Source organism: Homo sapiens, chromosome 14, assembly GCF_000001405.40.
Source record: "Homo sapiens chromosome 14, GRCh38.p14 Primary Assembly".
NCBI lineage: Eukaryota > Metazoa > Chordata > Mammalia > Primates > Hominidae > Homo > Homo sapiens.
The window spans coordinates 74,762,059-74,778,910 of NC_000014.9; the positions used below are offsets into that span (position 1 = coordinate 74,762,059).

At 42.8% G+C, this 16,852-nt stretch overlaps 1 protein-coding gene across 6 annotated transcripts in view, besides 1 other annotated feature; it reads left to right on the forward strand.

The window, feature by feature from the left end:
• Nucleotides 966-1,305: an enhancer, noted in NCBI's record as "active region_8730". NCBI's record gives its function as "activates an Ori minimal core promoter by ATAC-STARR-seq in GM12878 lymphoblastoid cells {active_cell/tissue: GM12878}" and the evidence as "EXISTENCE:reporter gene assay evidence [ECO:0000049][PMID:35858748]".
• YLPM1 (YLP motif containing 1) overlaps nucleotides 1,258-16,852 on the forward strand; it is a 74,003-nt gene continuing 58,408 nt past the window's right edge. For 5 of the 6 annotated variants that reach the window (NM_019589.3, NM_001411052.1, XM_047431591.1 and 2 more), the window contains exons 1-2: nucleotides 1,258-2,304; nucleotides 16,389-16,625. In NM_019589.3, coding sequence (NP_062535.2) covers nucleotides 1,432-2,304; nucleotides 16,389-16,625 — 1,110 coding nt within the window. In that variant the 5' untranslated portion in view covers nucleotides 1,258-1,431. Of the gene's footprint in view, nucleotides 2,305-9,633; nucleotides 9,689-16,388; nucleotides 16,626-16,852 lie in introns of all 6 variants that reach the window. The other variant, XM_011536966.3, reaches the window with a different exon arrangement.

A 16,852-nucleotide genomic window follows, 5' to 3' on the forward strand; every position in this document is an offset into this window, starting at 1 on the left:
AGTGAGCCCCCGCGCCCTGCCTCTGCGTTTCTTTTCTGTCTATGAAATTATCCCGATTGTTCTGCTCATTGGAACACTGTTTCTGCTTTATAGAATGAGACGTTGCCCAATTCTAGAATAGCAGGTAAAAGTTAATTAAGATCTTTAAACTAAATTTGTTGTAATTTTGTCTTTTGACATGTAATTTTCTGTATATTCGTTATACTTCAATAAAAAGTTAAAAGAAACATAACTAAATTTCTATTTGAAAACAGAAGCTCTTCCTTTTGAAGGATGCCTTGCTGCTCCACTTTCCATTCACATTCACCTCCTGAGAGAGGTGAAGATCTGGGTTGCTAAGATGGAAGAAAGGTCAATTATTTGCATGTTACTCAAGTGATGCACTGACACAATATTCTCACAGTTCTCCCTCCCCCCGCCCCCCCCCACACACCCAAAAGAATTCAGTGTATTAGCTTTGCTTTTTAGTGATTCACTCAAGCTAAAGTAAGAGTTTATGTCTGGTATTACGTTGAGAGCTTTTGGAAGATTATCTTCCAGGTTGTCTTTAGACCATCTTTGTATCTGGTTTTTGCTCTCTTTGCTTTTGCTCTGAGATTCTGCAACACCGATTTATATGTGTTGAGACAGTCTAAAAAATTCCATTTCTCCCCTTCTACAATTCCTGCAGATGTTACTCACTATATGTCTGCAGGAATTGGTGTAATCTTACACTCTGCCTTGAAAACACCTTTCCATTCTTCACAGCTTTGTTCCCAGTTGAATTTCTGGGGAGAATTGAGTTAGGTCTATTCATTTAATTTGGGAGAAACTGACATCTTTACAATTTTTCCTCTTTTCACCCAGGATCATGGTAAGCCTCTCCATTATTTGAAGTCTAATTTCATCCTACTTGGATATGCTTCTTTATGACTCTGTAGCTTTCTACATATAAGTCCTACATCTTTCTTGTTAGAGTTTTTCCTAGTTGCTTTATGTTTTTTTGTTGTTGTTGCGATTGTTGCTATTGTGAATGGAACCTTTTTTTTTTTTCATTCAAAAATGAACCCGTGGAGCGATAGGATCTCTACCACCTCTTTCGGCTGTGAGACTCTATGGTTTTTCAGTTCTATGAGAACATTCTACTGGAGCCTACATTATCTGAACCCAAAGGAAGATGGCAACCACGAGTCGCCAAGTAAAGGACCGCTCTATCTCGCCTTTGTTCTCCTCTCGGTGGTTACTGCGCAGACGTAGTCGCCCAAGTCGCGTCCCCGCCTTCCCGGTCGCGGGCCCAGCTCGGGAGCGCCGGCGCACTGGCGCGCTCCGTTTACACGCTCCGGGGCCTGTAGGCGCCGCGAGTTCCGGCTGTCGCCGTCGCCGCCGCGGCTCCTGGAGGTCGGTTGCGACGAGTAACGGCGCCAGGACGAGCCCTGCGCCTTCTTTTTCGATATGTACCCGAATTGGGGCCGGTATGGCGGGAGCAGCCACTATCCGCCGCCACCGGTCCCACCGCCGCCGCCAGTGGCGCTTCCTGAGGCCTCGCCGGGGCCCGGGTACTCGAGCTCGACGACTCCCGCGGCCCCCTCCTCCTCGGGCTTCATGAGCTTCCGCGAACAGCACTTGGCGCAGCTCCAGCAGCTGCAGCAGATGCACCAGAAGCAAATGCAGTGCGTGCTTCAGCCCCACCACCTTCCTCCGCCCCCTCTGCCGCCCCCGCCAGTGATGCCGGGGGGCGGCTACGGAGACTGGCAGCCGCCACCGCCACCGATGCCCCCGCCACCCGGGCCGGCCCTCAGCTATCAGAAGCAGCAGCAGTACAAACACCAGATGCTCCACCACCAACGAGACGGGCCTCCTGGTTTGGTTCCAATGGAGCTGGAATCCCCCCCTGAATCTCCCCCTGTGCCGCCTGGGTCCTATATGCCCCCATCTCAGTCTTACATGCCCCCACCTCAGCCGCCACCCTCTTACTACCCCCCGACCTCATCTCAGCCCTACCTGCCTCCTGCTCAGCCGTCCCCTTCGCAGTCCCCACCTTCCCAATCCTACCTGGCGCCCACCCCTTCTTACTCATCCTCCTCCTCTTCCTCGCAATCCTATTTGAGCCATTCCCAGTCCTACTTGCCCTCTTCTCAGGCATCTCCTTCCCGCCCCTCCCAGGGCCATTCTAAATCCCAACTACTAGCTCCACCACCACCGTCCGCCCCCCCTGGAAATAAGACAACTGTCCAGCAAGAGCCTTTGGAGAGTGGGGCCAAAAACAAGAGTACTGAACAGCAGCAAGCCGCCCCTGAGCCAGATCCCTCTACGATGACTCCACAGGTAAGAAAGCATCTGCCTGAACCTCATCTTTCACCTAGAGGGCCCTGAATGAGCAGGCCTCAGGGCTTTAACCAGTGGTTAGTCTAATTCCAACACACAATGACTAGCTAACACTCCAAAGGATTCCGTAAGAGTCAGAGGGCTGACAGCTCAGCTTTTTAATTAGCTAGATGTGAATTACCAAAAAAACAGCGTTTGTAGATGTGTATGGATTACATACAGTGGTGGGGTGGCTCAAAAGTTACCTCTCAGATACATTCCTTGGTTTCTTTGACCATCCTCTTAGATTTTGTTGCTGTTGCAAATAGATTTTGTTGCAGAGGGTCTTGTTTTAAAATTGTATTTTAAACGAAAGTTTCCATTTGAGAGAAAGCATGAAAAAGAGGCCTCGCCAAGGGCTGACACTTGAATGTTTGTAAACTTTATGATTAGTTAGCTTCTTTTAAAAATATTACTTAGGGGCCAGGGATAGTTGTCAGCTTCCTGAATTAAGAGGTTTCAGAAAAAGGATGGAAATCTTGTCTTACCAGGAGCATCCTAATTATGCTTATAGGTACATATACAATACATAGATGAGTCCCGAGACCCTTTTGGGGATCGATTGGTCCATTTTAGGAATTGACCCAGACATCCTTTTCTCATATTATTTAAAGATTGTTTTAAGATAATGAGCAATTTTCTGCGTTTCATTGTCATTACCATTCACTCCAAAGAAACAGCCTTGCAATTTGGCCAACGTAAAAAAAGTTTGGTGATATCTTTTCATGAGAGAGTCAGCCATTCTTATCCCGCAGAACAGACAAATTGACAGGGTAACAGTAATAAACGAGTTCCCCCTTGAGAGAGGGAAGGTCAAACTAAAGCAGAATAAATCAATTGTTATGATTTCCTAAAGTAGACACTTTTTCAGCGATTACTAATTTACCTTAGATTCACTAAGGAAAAAAGAGAATCTTGTAATATAAACGCTCAGATTTACCTATAAAAGATTTCCAAAAGATAGGGATGCAGTATTATAATTTTACGGTGGTTTGGCATTAGAAATTAAGAACAGAAGCAAGTTGTTTTAAGAAATGATGCTTGGCACATCTTCTGGAGAAAACACTTGGGATGCTGAAATAAAGTAGTAGAATAATGATTCTGTTGGCTTACATCAAATTTGTACCATCTCACCAGTTTATTTTCCCCAGATTGCTCTATTATAGAGACAGACTTTCTGTCCTCTTTCCCACCCCACTCTGAAGTCTTTAGTGCTTTTGTTGTCAAACATTCTCAGTTAGTCTGAGCCAAAATAGGACATTTATATTCTCACTCTACTAGACTGTTTTTCTGACCTTACAGAGAGACAAAATAATTGTATTTTTGGCTTTTTTTGGGAGGAGTGTGTGTGTCAGATCAGGCCTTAATATGTATAGTTACCATGAACAGTGCTTTTACTTTTCTGCCTTTGTACCCTTTTCTGTAATGAACTCAGTGTCTTGAATATTCAGTGCCTGCAATTCTTTGGTGAGAGGCAGAGTGGTGGAAAATGAGACTTGTGGTGCACATAGACCAGATCAAGAAGAGCCTTGAAGCCTGTGGCTTTCTTTCTTCTTTTTAGAATTCATCCTAACCTCCTCAACCCTCTGTTTCCCCTTAGAGTTGTATTGCTTTCAAGGCATATCTCAAATATCAAGGTTTCCATGAAGCCCTGCTTGTGCTCACCCATCTGGTTTGGTTCTGTTCTTCAGATTGTAAGTCCCTTGCAGACAGGAATTATCTTACTTATCTTCTTATTACCGTAGCACCTAGGACAGTGCCTTGCAAATTGTAGGCTCTCCACAGATTTGTTGAATAAAATACGAGAGTTGTCATGTTCTAGACTTAGGATATGTTGGTTTATTAGATGATAAATATTTCTTCATGCCAGTACCAGTCTCTGGCAATCCTTCTACATATTTATTATTCTTTGATTCATATTTTGTTTTTGGAATGTGTCATTCAAAATTTCTTATCGTGAAATATTTTTAAAATACACAAAATAGAGAAAAAAGTATGATTCCCCATACATACCCATCATTGAGATTCAACAGCTATCAAGATTTTGCCATGTTTACTTCACCTAGGCCTTTTTTATTATTGTTGCATATATATATATTGAGACAGGGTCTTGCTCTGTCAGTCACCCAGGGTGGAGTGTAGTGGCATAGTCTCAGTTCACTGCAACCTCTGCCTCCCAGGCTCAAGCCATCCCAAGTAGCTGGGACTACAGGTGCATGCCACCATGCCTGGCTATTTTTTTTTTTTTTTTTTTTTGGTAGAGACGGGGTTTTGCTATGTTGCCCAGGCTGGTCTTGAACTCCTGAGCTCAAACAGTACACTGCCTTGACCTCTCAAAGTGCTGGGATTATGGGCATGAACCACCACACCTGGCCTCTGCTGAAATATTTTAAAGCAAATCTTAGATCTTATGTCATTTCATCCCTACATTCTTAGTCAAGTACCTCTATAAAACAAAACAAAACAAAACCAAGACCTTTTCTTTTTTTTTTTTTTTTTTGAGATGGAGTCTCACACTGTTGCCCAGGCTGGAGTGCAGTGGCGCGATCTTGGCTCATTGCAACCTCTGCCTCCCGGGTTCAAGCGATTCTCCTGCCTCAGCCTCCTGAGTAGCTGGGATTACAAGTGCATGCCACCACGCCTGGCTAATTTTTGTATTTTTAGTAGAGACGGGGTTTCACCATGTTGGTCAGGCTGGTCTTGAACTCCTGACCTCATGATCCAGCTGCCTTGGCCTCCCAAAGTGCTGGGATTACAGGCGTGAGCCACCGTGCCCGGCCAAGACCCTTTCTTAGATAAACACATTGTTAACACCTAACAAAGTTAACAGTTTCTTGGTATCATCTAATACCTGATCCGTTCAGATTTCCTTTATTGTTTCATCATACTAATGAACTAAAAATAATTCTTTGATACCATCCATGTTAAAATACCCCAAATTGACTCAACAGTGTTGTTGTTTTCTGTCCTCACAGTCTGTTCCCAAACAATGTTTTTTTGGTGTGTTCAAGTCAGAGTCCAAACAGAATACTGAAAAGATTCTTAGTATAGATCAGGGTTTCTCAGCTTCGGCACTATGGACATTTTGGGCAGGATGATTCTTTGTTGTGGAGGGGCTTGTCCTATGCATTGTAGGATGTTTAACAGCGTCCCTGACCTCTACCCATTAGATGCCAGTGGCAGCCCCCAGTCCGACAACCAAAAATGTTTCCACACATTGCCAAGTATCCCCTGGAGACAAAATTACCCTCTGTTGAGAACCCTTGACCTAGGTCAGTCCCTCCTATTTTCTTTTTCTACCTCATGTCTTTGAACTTGATGAAAAATCTGTTGTCAGTTTTCCTGTAGAATGTCTGACATTCTGCATTGTCTGCTTTTTCATGGTGTCACATTTGACTTGTTCCTATGTCTTCCACATTTTTTTTTTTTTTGAATTAGAAGTTAACTCTGGAACCTTCATTTAAGTTCAGCTTTCTTTTGGCAAGTGTTGCATTCCTCATGGGACACCCGATGCCTGGTTGTCCCACTGTTAGTAATGCCATTGGTCCCTCTACTGTAAAGCTTTCTATCAATCTTGCATCTAATGTTTCAGTCTACTGGTTCATCAATTGAAGAAAGACCTTGCCTAAGTAAATTATTTCATTAGACAGAGGTTGCAACCTGGTGATTTTTTTTTTCTGCCATTTCTTCCACAGTTACTATATGGAGTTATGTAAAGAAAAACTTTTGCCACAGATATTTGATTGGAAATACAGTTGGTATAGGAAGGACAAGATAAATACTTGATATTTTTCCAGGTGTTTTCTAGTTTTTCGGGTAAAGTGTTGATGATTTAATGGAATGTGTTTTTTTGTTTGTTTGTTTCTGAGAGAGAGTCTCACTCTGTCGCTCAGGCTGGAGTGCAGTGGTGAAATCTCGGCTCACTGCAACTTCCACTTCCTGGGTTCAAACAATTCTGCCCTAGCCTCCCAAGTATATGGGATTACAGGTGCATGCTACCATGCCTGGCTAGTTTTTGTATTTTTAATAGAGATGGGGTTTCACCATGTTGGTCAGGCTGGTCTCGAACTCCTGACCTCAAGTGATCCACCTGCTTCGGCCTCCCAAAGTGCTGGGATTATAGACGTGAGCCACTGCGCCCGGTCGGAATGTGTCTTTTTGAATAATTAATTTTTCTATGTGTTTAAAGGACTGATTTATTTAGTTAAAGCTGTTGGCTTTGATTAGTTTTTAGAGGTATCATTTATTTAATGTTTAAATACTTACGGACTAGCAACTATGTGCCAGGTACTATGAGTACTGTGCTTAATACTGGAGATGAAATGGTTAACAAGATAGACATGGGACCTGCCCTCATTGACTTCTTGTTTCAGTTGTGGGGGAAGGGAGAAGACATTTAGTAAGTAATTAAGAGGAGACGTACAGAGTGCTATGGGATTATAAAATATCACTAGATTATTCCCCAAGGAACTGGCAAAGGCAAGTTTTTTGTTTTTTGTTTTTTTTTTAAGTTACCACTGTATTCACAGTACCTTGCATAGGATCTAGCGCATAGGAGGTGGAGAACAAATATATTTTAAATAATTGAATATAGCTGGGAGCGCTAACCTAATTAAAGAGGATTCCCTTTGTAAAGTGATATTTTTTATTTTTTATTTGTTTTTATTTTATTTTATTTATTTTTATTTTTTTGAGATGGAGTCTCGCTCTGTTGCCCAGGCTGGAGTGCAGTGGCGCGATCTCGGCTCACTGCAACCTCCGCCTTCCGGGTTTAAGCAATTTTCTGCCTCAGCCTCCCTAGTAACTGGGATTACAGGTGCCTGCCACCACGCCCGGCTAATTTTTTTGTATTTTTATCTTTTTTTTTTTTTTTTTTTTTTTTTTTTTGGAGACGAAGTCTCACTCTTGTTGCCCAGGCTGGGGTGCAATGGCACGATCTCGGCTCACTGCAACCTCTGCCTCCCGGGTTCAAACAATTCTCCTGCCTCAGCCTGCCTCAGCTACTCCCAGGAGTAGCTGGGATTACAGGCGCCTGCCACCACGCTTGGCTAATTTTTGTATTTTTAGTAGAGACGAGGTTTCACCATGTTGGCTAGGCTGGTCTCGAACTCCTGACCCCAGGTGATCTGCCTGTCTCAGCCTCCCAAAGTGCTGGGGTTACAGGTGTGAGTCAGAGTGCCCGGCCATTTTTTTTTGTATTTTTAGTACAGAAGAGGTTTCACCATCTTGGCCAGGCTGGTCTTGAACTCCTGACCTCGTGATCCACCTGCTACGGCCTCCCAAAGTGCTGGGATTACAGGCGTAAGCTGCCACGCCGGGCCTGTAAAGTGATATTTAAATGAACTCTAAAGAATAAGTAGGAGGACTGGGTGCTCACACCTGTAATCCCAGTTCTTTGGGCTCATTAGAGGCCGGGAGTTCAAGGCCAGCCTGGGCAACAAAGTGAGACACCCCCCCCCCCGCCCCCCGCCCACAAAAAGTTTAAAAAACTAGCCAGGTGGCCGGGCGCAGTGGCTCACGCCTGTAATCCCAGCACTTTGGGAGGCCTAGGCGGGCAGATCACGAGGTCAGAAGATCAAGACCATCCTGGCTAACATGGTGAAACCCCATCTCTACTAAAAATACAAAAAATTAGCCGGGCGTGGTGGTGGGCGCCTGTAGTCCCAACTTCTCAGGAAGCTGAGGCAGGAGAATGGTGTGAACCCGGGAGGCGGAGCTTGCAGTGAGCCGAGATCGCGCCACTGCACTCCAGCCTGGGCGACAGAGTGAGACTCCGACTCAAAAAAAAAAAAAACCTAGCCAGGCATGGTGTTGCATGCCTGTAGTGCCGGCTACTTGCGGGTGGCTGAGGTGGGAGGATTGTTTAAGCCCAGGAGTTCTCGTGCCACTGCACTCTAGCCTGGGCAACAGAGTGAGACCTAAAAAAAAAAAAAATGAGTAGGCCAGGTGCAGTGGCTGATGCCTGTAATCTCAGCACTTTGGGAGGCCAAGGCAGGCGGATCACTTGAAGTCAGGAGTTCAAGACCAGCCTGGCCAACATGGTGAAATTCTGTCTCTACTACAAATACAAAAAATTAGCTGGGTGTGGTGGTGCACGCTTTTAATCTCAGCTACTTGGGAGGCTGAGGTGGGAGGATCACTTGAACCCAGGAGGCAGAGGTTGCAGTGAGCCAAGATTGCCCCACTGCTCTCTAGCCTGGGCGACAGAGTGGGACTCCATCTCAGTTAAAAAAAAAGAAAAAGAGTAGAAATTAACCAGAAGTTAGAATTCAAAGAATTAAGTTCAATAAGGCTCACTGAAAGCTCAGGGTGAGGATGGTAGGTATGAACTAGATCAGGGAAGGCCTGTAAGGACTTCATTCTAAGGGCAGTTGGAAGCCATTGAAGGATTTTACATAGGTGAATGTGACAGATTGGCATTTTTGAAAGCTCACTCTGCTTGCAGTGTGGAGAGCAGAATTAAAAGGAGCAAGAGTGATTTAGAGAGAATAGTTATTGAAGTAATCCAGGCAAGAGATAATAGTGGTTTAGACTTTGATGGTATTAGTTGAGATGGAGAGAAGTGGGAAGAGTGGAGAAATATTTAGCTGCTAGAATTCACTTTGAGGTTGAGTAGTTATGGAGAGGGAGGCATCAAGAATGATTCTTAGGTTTCTGGGCTGGGCCGTAGGGTGGATGGTGGTCAAATTTACTAAAACAGAAAAACCTAAAGGAGGAGGAGGAAGAACATTTCTGGGGGTGAGGAGAAAATCATGAGTTAGGTTTCAGACATACTGAGTTTGGGGTTCTTGAGACATAGATTCCAAATGGAGATGTCCACTTGGAAGTTAGATATAGCTCTGGAGTCTAGATGTAAGATCTGGGAGACATAGATTTATAAGTCATCAGCATAAAAATGGTATTTGAAGACACAGAAATAGATGAAGCCTCTCAAGGAATGTGTGTAGAGTAAGAACTGAGGTTAAAGGACATTAAGCCTAGCTCCACAAATAGCAGTATCTAAGGGAACCAATGAAAGAATGGCCAAATAGGTATTCATATTAGGTTGGTGCAAAAGTAATTGCAGTTTTTGCTATTACTTTTAATGGCAAAACCACAGTTACTTTGGCACCAGTGTGATAGGTGGAAAATCAAGATAGTGGATAGTGCGTTGCCATGAACGTCAAGGAACAGACTCTAGGAGGAGGGAGTCGTCAGCTGTGTGAAGTACTGCTGAGACGTCAAGCAAGATAAAGACTGCGAGTTATCTTTTGCACCTACTGACATGTAGATTATTGTTGACCTTGGCAGGAGCAGTTTCATAGTGACTGAAGCCATATTGCATTGATTTGAGGAGTGATGGAAGGTGAGGAAATGGGGATGGTGAGTACAGACAACTCTTTCAAGAAGTTTGACTGAAGGAGAGAGAGAATGAGGGAAGGAGCTGGAGGAATAGATGAAGTAAATGAGCATTTAAAATAAAAATAGGTGGGGACTAAGCTTATCTGGTGACCCTGATTCTTACAGTAGAATGTGAATCTCAAAAATATTTAAGCCTATTTTAAATAAATTTCTAAAATGGAAACCCAATTCATTATTTTACCAGGTGTCCTCCCTGCCCCCTGCTTTAGAATATAAGACATAGAACATTGTCTTATAGGCATTTATGATAACCTGGATAGGGAAGGTAATCTTCTAAAATTAATCTTTAAAACATTACACACAAACACTCACCTCCTTTATAGTTCTCCACTTGGAAAATCATTTAGTATCTAGTTCATTACTAGCAGCAGTGGTCAGTAAGTGCTTCCTGAGTAAATTAAAATCAACATCTTTCTTTTTTTTTTTTTTTTCTCAGAGAGATGGGATCTTGCCATGTTGCCCAGGCTGGTCTGAATTCCTGGGCTCAAGCGATATTCGTGCCTCGGCAGCATCTTTCTTAATAACAGTATTTGTGACAAATAGTTCTATATTCTTAATTTTTTTTTTTTTTTTGAGATGGAGTCTCGCTCTCACCCAGGCTGAAGTGCAGTGGCGCGAGGATCTGGGCTCACTGCAACCTCCGCCTCCCAGGTTCAAGCGATTCTCCTGCCTCAGCCTCCCGAGTAGCTGGGATTACAGGCATGTGCCACCACACCCAGCTAAGTTTTGTATTTTTAGTAGAGACAGGGTTTCACCATGTTGGTCAGGCTGGTCTCGAACTCCTCACCTTGTGATCCGCCCGCCTTGGCCTCCCAAAGTGCTGGGATTACAGATGTGAGCCACCGCACCCAGCCAATAGTTCTACATTCTTTATGTTTGAAATCCCTTCATTCAATCTCGTTTTAAATGTGACCTATATTATGATTTCCCTCTACCTATAAAACAACATCCCATATGAAATGGAGTTATCTGATATGATGGGACATTCAGAAGAGCTGGCATCATTAGCAAGTTCAGGCATTTTTTTTCTTTCTAAAATAGGGATGATCACACTTCTCTTAGGGTCAGTAAGGACATTTGTGAGTGATATCATTATTATTTATTTGCAGAGCTTCAAAAATGTGCTGAAGCCTACCATAGGATTGAATTAGATCTGGTTACTACTTATAGGGTTCATATTAAATAGAAATTGACCTACAAGGCGGCCGGGCACGGTGGCTCACGCCTGTAATCCCAGCACTTTGGGAGGCTGAGGTGGGCGGATCACAAGGTCAGGAGATCGAGACCATCCTGGCTAACATGGTGAAACCCCGTCTCTACTAAAAAATATAAAAAATTAGCCGGGCGTGGTGGCGGGCGCCTGTAGTCCCAACTACTCAGGAGGCTGAGGCAGGAGAATGGCGTGAACTCGGGAGGCGGAGCTTGCAGTGAGCCGAGATCGCGCCACTGCGCTCCAGCCTGGGCGACAGAGCGAGACTCCATCTCAAGAAAAAAAAAAGAGAAATTGACCTACAAGGCATACTGTCAGTGAATCAACAAGTACTTCAGCCCTTAACAAGTTCTTAACCCTGGTCTGGATCTAAGACAAAGCATGAGAATAGGTGATGAAGAAGCTGATAAAGAATCTGGACCTGTACAGTTTTCATTCTGTACAGTCTTCATATCTGTAGCATTGGCTTAGTTTGTGAAAGATAGTTTGCATCTTTGTATCTTTTAATAATGCTTTCAAAGCAACTTTAAAAAAGGAAACTTTTAACTTCTACTTGAAAGAGAATGTACTAATTTTTTTAAAACTGAAGGATAAGTCTGTTGATGTTTTCAGTATTAAAATAATGGAAGGAAGTGTTTTAATGCTACATTATTATTATTATTGGCTTTGGCTTTCATGGTCAGTGTGCTGTTTTCTTTCTTTTTTTTTTTTTTTTTTTTTTTTTTTGAGACAGAGTCTTTCTCTGTTGCCCAGGCTGGAGTGCAATGGCACGATCTCGGCTCACTGCAACCTCCGCCTCCCAGGTTCAGGGGATTCTCCTGCCTCACCCTCCGGAGTAGCTGAGATTATAGGTGTGTGCCACCACACCCTACTAATTTTTGTATTTTTAGTAGAGGCGAGGTTTCACCGTGTTGGCCAGGCTGGTCTCGAACTCCTGACCTCAGGTGACCTGCCCGCCTAGACCTCCCAAAGTACTGGGATTACAGGCATGAGCCACTGTGCCTGGCCAAGTGTGCTGTTTTCTTACGTTGAATAGTAAAAGTACAGATACTCTTTGACTTACAGTGGGGTTACATCTCAATAAACCCATTGTAAGTTGAGGATAATGTAAGTTGAACATTTAATACACCTAGCCTACTGAATACCATAGTTTAGCCTAGCTATTAAATGTGCTCAGAAAGTTTACATTAGGCAAAGTCATCTGGCCACACAGTACACAGTAGAGTATTGGTTTTTTTCTTGTTTTGTTTTGTTTTCTTTGAGATGGAGTCAGTGAGTGGTGCGATCTTGGCTCACTGCAACCTCCACCTCCTGGGTTCAAGCGAGTCTCCCGTCTCAGCCTCCCAAGTAGCTGGGATTACAGGCACCTGCGACCATGGCCCAGCTAATTTTTTTGTATTTTTTTTGTTTTGAGACGGAGTCTCGCTCTGTCGCCCAGGCTGGAGTGCAGTGGCGTGATCTCGGCTCACTGCAACCTCCGCCTCCTGGGTTCATGCCATTCTCCTGCCTCAGCCTCCCAAGTAGCTGGGACTACAGGTGCCTGCCACCATGCCAGGTTAATTTTTTTATATTTTTAGGAGAGATGGGGTTTCACCGTGTTAGCCAGGATGGTCTTGATCTCCTGACCTCATGATCTACCTGCCTCGGCCTCCCAGAGTGCTGGGATTACAGGCGTGAGCCACTGCGCTCCGCCTTTTTTTTTTTGTATTTTTGTAGAGACGGGGTTTCACCATGTTGGCCAGGCTGGTCTTGAACTCCTGACCTTAGGTGATCAGCCCACCTTGGCCTCCCAAAGTGCTGGGATTACAGGTGTGAGCCACTGCACCTGGCCGAGGATTGATTGTTTGCCCTCATGATGTGTGGCTGACTAGGAGCCTAGGGCTCGCTGCTGCTGTCCAGCATCACAAGAGAGTATCATACTGAATATTTTGAGCCTGGGAAAAGATCAAAATTCATGGTATGGTTTCCAGTGAATACATATCACTTTCACACCACCATAAAGTCGAAAAATCATAAGTTGAACCATTGTTAAGTCAGGGACCATCTGTAATTATATCCTGGGAGCTGATGATTATATGTATAATAGTTAAAAACAAAAAATCCAGTCATGGGTTAAACGTCAAGATGGAGTTTATGAGATGGAATTTATTCTTCCCAATAGATTGGAACAAGTTTCAGGTAATAGTAATGAGTGACCGAGAGGGAAGGGCTTCAGTTGATCAATAACCATTTATTGACATCCTACTGTGTGCTCTAGCACTATGCTTGACTACCAGATAGGATATAAAAAGAGGGGAAGGCAGCTGTCCCCTAAGAAAAATTACATTCTTTGAGTGAAAAGTAGGTAACAAATCAGTATGTTTGGTGAGAAAAAGGTATGTATTATGTATATTTAATGCATCTGTTTGCATATGGAAAATTAGGGGAGGTTATACTATAAAATATTAACAGTGTAGGAAATCCTAGTTATCCAGAGATAATTGGATTAGAAAATAGGCAAGTAAAGTGAATTCATTTAACACAGGAACCAAAAGTTTATTGTAAAACATAAAACATTTGATTGGGACCCAGTCTGGAAAAACAAAGCTCAAAGTGATAAGGATAAGCAGATTTTATATTTGATGGAATTGTTATAAATGAAATCATAGCCAAGTTTTAGAATGAACAAAGAATAAACTATAGATTGGGTTTCTTTGCTGTAATTTTTGTGGGAAAATTATATAACAACATTATAGATCATCTTTTATTTCATTTTTTGACATGTTGAAAAAATATTTTAGGGATTTATCGATTTTTATACGGACTGTTTTTCAACCTTTGGTATTCAGGCCATTCTCTTTTATAGTTTTTACTGTAAAGTACTGTTCGGTTGTTAACTGGTAGGACTTCTAGCAGATCCTCAGCTGCCAGTAATAAGTTCCAATGTTCTCCAACATCACTTTCTTGAAATACTACATCCATACAATTGTAGTAGAATCATATGCTTTTGTTAGTCATATAAGTATACAGGGCAGTTCATCAGTGAATATTTTAGTGTTATGATAACTTTTGGTTTTCTTTATGCAACCTTGTAACCATGGGAAATTATATAATACTAGGATAATGACACTCCTGTAGTTTTTTTCTGAGTGGTGAGATTTCTTTTATTGATTTTAATTAATTAGTTATTACTTACCTGTGTAGTCAGTTTTCTTTATTTGAGATTTTTAAACTCACCACAGACACTGAATTAGTGAATACTGAACCAGTGCTCCTCGGGGAAATACAGGGTTAGGTTCCTGTGAGTCTCTTGTCACATTTTTATCAACTGATGAACACATAGCCTTGTTTATGTGTGTTTCTGTTTAAAGAACCTTATTTAGTACATATTGTTGATTTATTAACATTGTACTCATGGCCAACAGCACTGTAGCACTTGTCCGAACAAAGCTGACCTAACACAGATATTTTCTCTGTGAGACATAAGACCGCTTTCTTGCTCTTGGGACACTAAACAGCATCTCAGCTCTATGCCTGGGGGCCATTTTAAATAGTGAAATCAACAAAAAAGCACAAAAGTTTGACAAATGTGTCTCTAAATAGACTGAAAATGACACTTATTTATAGTATAGAGCTGGAACAAGAAGGCAGAGCATCACCTTGCACTTCATCTCGGCTGGGAATGCACACATGAGTCAGGGGACTCATGTTTTTCACTGCTGTCCACATGTTTGTGAATGACTGGGAAAGCTCAGTGAGTATGGATTTTGGGTTTAGAAATAAATTTTAGGTCGGGTGTGGTGGCTCATGCCTGTAATCCCAGCACTTTGGGAGGCCAAGGTGGATCACTTGAGTCCAGGAGTTTGAAACCAGCCTGGGCAACATGGTGAAACTTGTCTCTACAAAAAATACAAAAATTATCCAGATGGTGGCACATACCTGTGGTCCCAGTTACTCGGGAGGTTGAAGCGGGAGGATCATTTGAGCACAGGAGGCGGAGGTGGCAGTGAGCTGAAACTGCACCACTACACTCCAGCCTGGGTGACAGAGGGAGATGACCCTGTCTCAAAAAAAGAAAAAAAAATTTTAGCAAGTAGGCAAATTTGCAAATACAGAATCCAAGAATAATGAGGATTGGCTATATTTTCTAATATTTCCATACTAAGCTTATTGTTGTAATTTTTAAATGAAAGCACAAAATAAGCTTTCAGAAAATTAAAGTACAGCATAATTTGGAAGATAAAGCTAAGGCTTTTAAAATAAATAGAAAGCATTTTAAAACACAGTATATTGGCCAGGTGCGGTGGCTCACACCTGTAATCCCAGCACTTTGGGAGGCCGAGGCTCGTGGATCACCTGAGGTCAGGAGTTCGAGACCAGCCTGGCCAACATGGTGAAACCCCATCTCTACTAAAAATAAAAAAATTTAGCTGGGCTTGGTGGTGGGTGCCTGTAATCCCAGCTACTCGGGAAGCTGAGGCAGGAGAATCACTTGAACCTGGGAGGTGGAGGTTGCAGTGAGCCGAGATCACACCACTGCACTCCAGCCTGGGTGACAGAGCAAGACTCCATCTCAAAAAAAAAAAAATAAATAAAACACAGCATATTCTCTTATATGTGTGTACAGCATATTCTCTTATATGTGTGTACATCTGAGTATGGGTAGACTAATGCTACAACAGGTGTTTCAAAGTGGGAGGAGGCTGGGTGCAGTGGTTCACACCTGTAATCCCAGCACTTTGGGAGGCTGAGGTAAGAGAATTGCTTGAGCCCAGGAGTTTGAGACCAGCCTGGGCAACACAGTAAGACCTTGTGTCTATAAAACATAAAAAAATTAGCTGGGCGTGATGGTGCATGCCTACGAACCCAGCTGCTCAGGAGGCTGAGGTGGGAGGATTGCTTGAGCCTGGGAGGTTGAGGCTTCAGTGAGCCATGTTCAGGCCATTGTACTCCATCCTGGGTGAGAGAGTGAGATGCAGTCTCAAAAAAAAAAGAAAGAAAAGAGGGAGGAGTGCTTGAGGAGAAAGAGAGAAGGCAGAGAAGAGAGGTAGGACTGTTCAGTTATATTCATTAATTACAAGACCCCTGTCAATAAATCGGAACAAACTGAAGCCAGGTTAAAAATAAGTAGTTGTGAATACTGAAGAGATTTACCCTGATCATTTATCAAAAAGATGGCTCTTACCTCCAAAAGCATGTGTTTTATTAGAGTACAGAAGCATGTTGAATTAATATGTATGGTTTAATTTAAATGTATAAATTTGGGGGAGGAACTGAAATTTTTCTGTAGCCTGTGTTTAAGATCTTGTTAACTTATTTGTCTTCCTCAGTCTAGCTTTGCCTTTTTTTACATATAGACACATGAACACAGACATAAAGATAGGTCCTTGTCAACACCAAGTTGCAGAGATACATGATTGTCAATCAAAATTCTCAAAAATTGTTTCTGTTGTAGGAACAGCAGCAGTATTGGTATCGACAGCACTTGCTTAGTTTGCAACAGAGGACAAAAGTTCATTTGCCAGGACACAAAAAGGGTCCTGTGGTAGCAAAGGATACACCAGAGCCGGTAAAAGAAGAAGTTACAGTACCTGCCACCAGTCAAGTTCCAGAATCTCCTTCTTCTGAGGAGCCCCCATTGCCACCTCCAAATGAGGAAGTGCCACCTCCTCTCCCACCTGAGGAACCCCAGGTAACCATATAATTAATTGTTTGTGTTTATTAAATTATTTAGCTTTTTTCTGATTCATTTAGTATACTTTTATCATAAATGGATATATATTTTTGTTTTTTTAGGTACCTATAAAGTTGCATTTGTGAAATCAGATGTCTGTTGTATCAGGTTTATTTGTTTGTTTATTTATTTTGAGACAGGGTCTCTCTCTGTTTACCAGGCTGGAGTGCAATGGTGCGATCTTG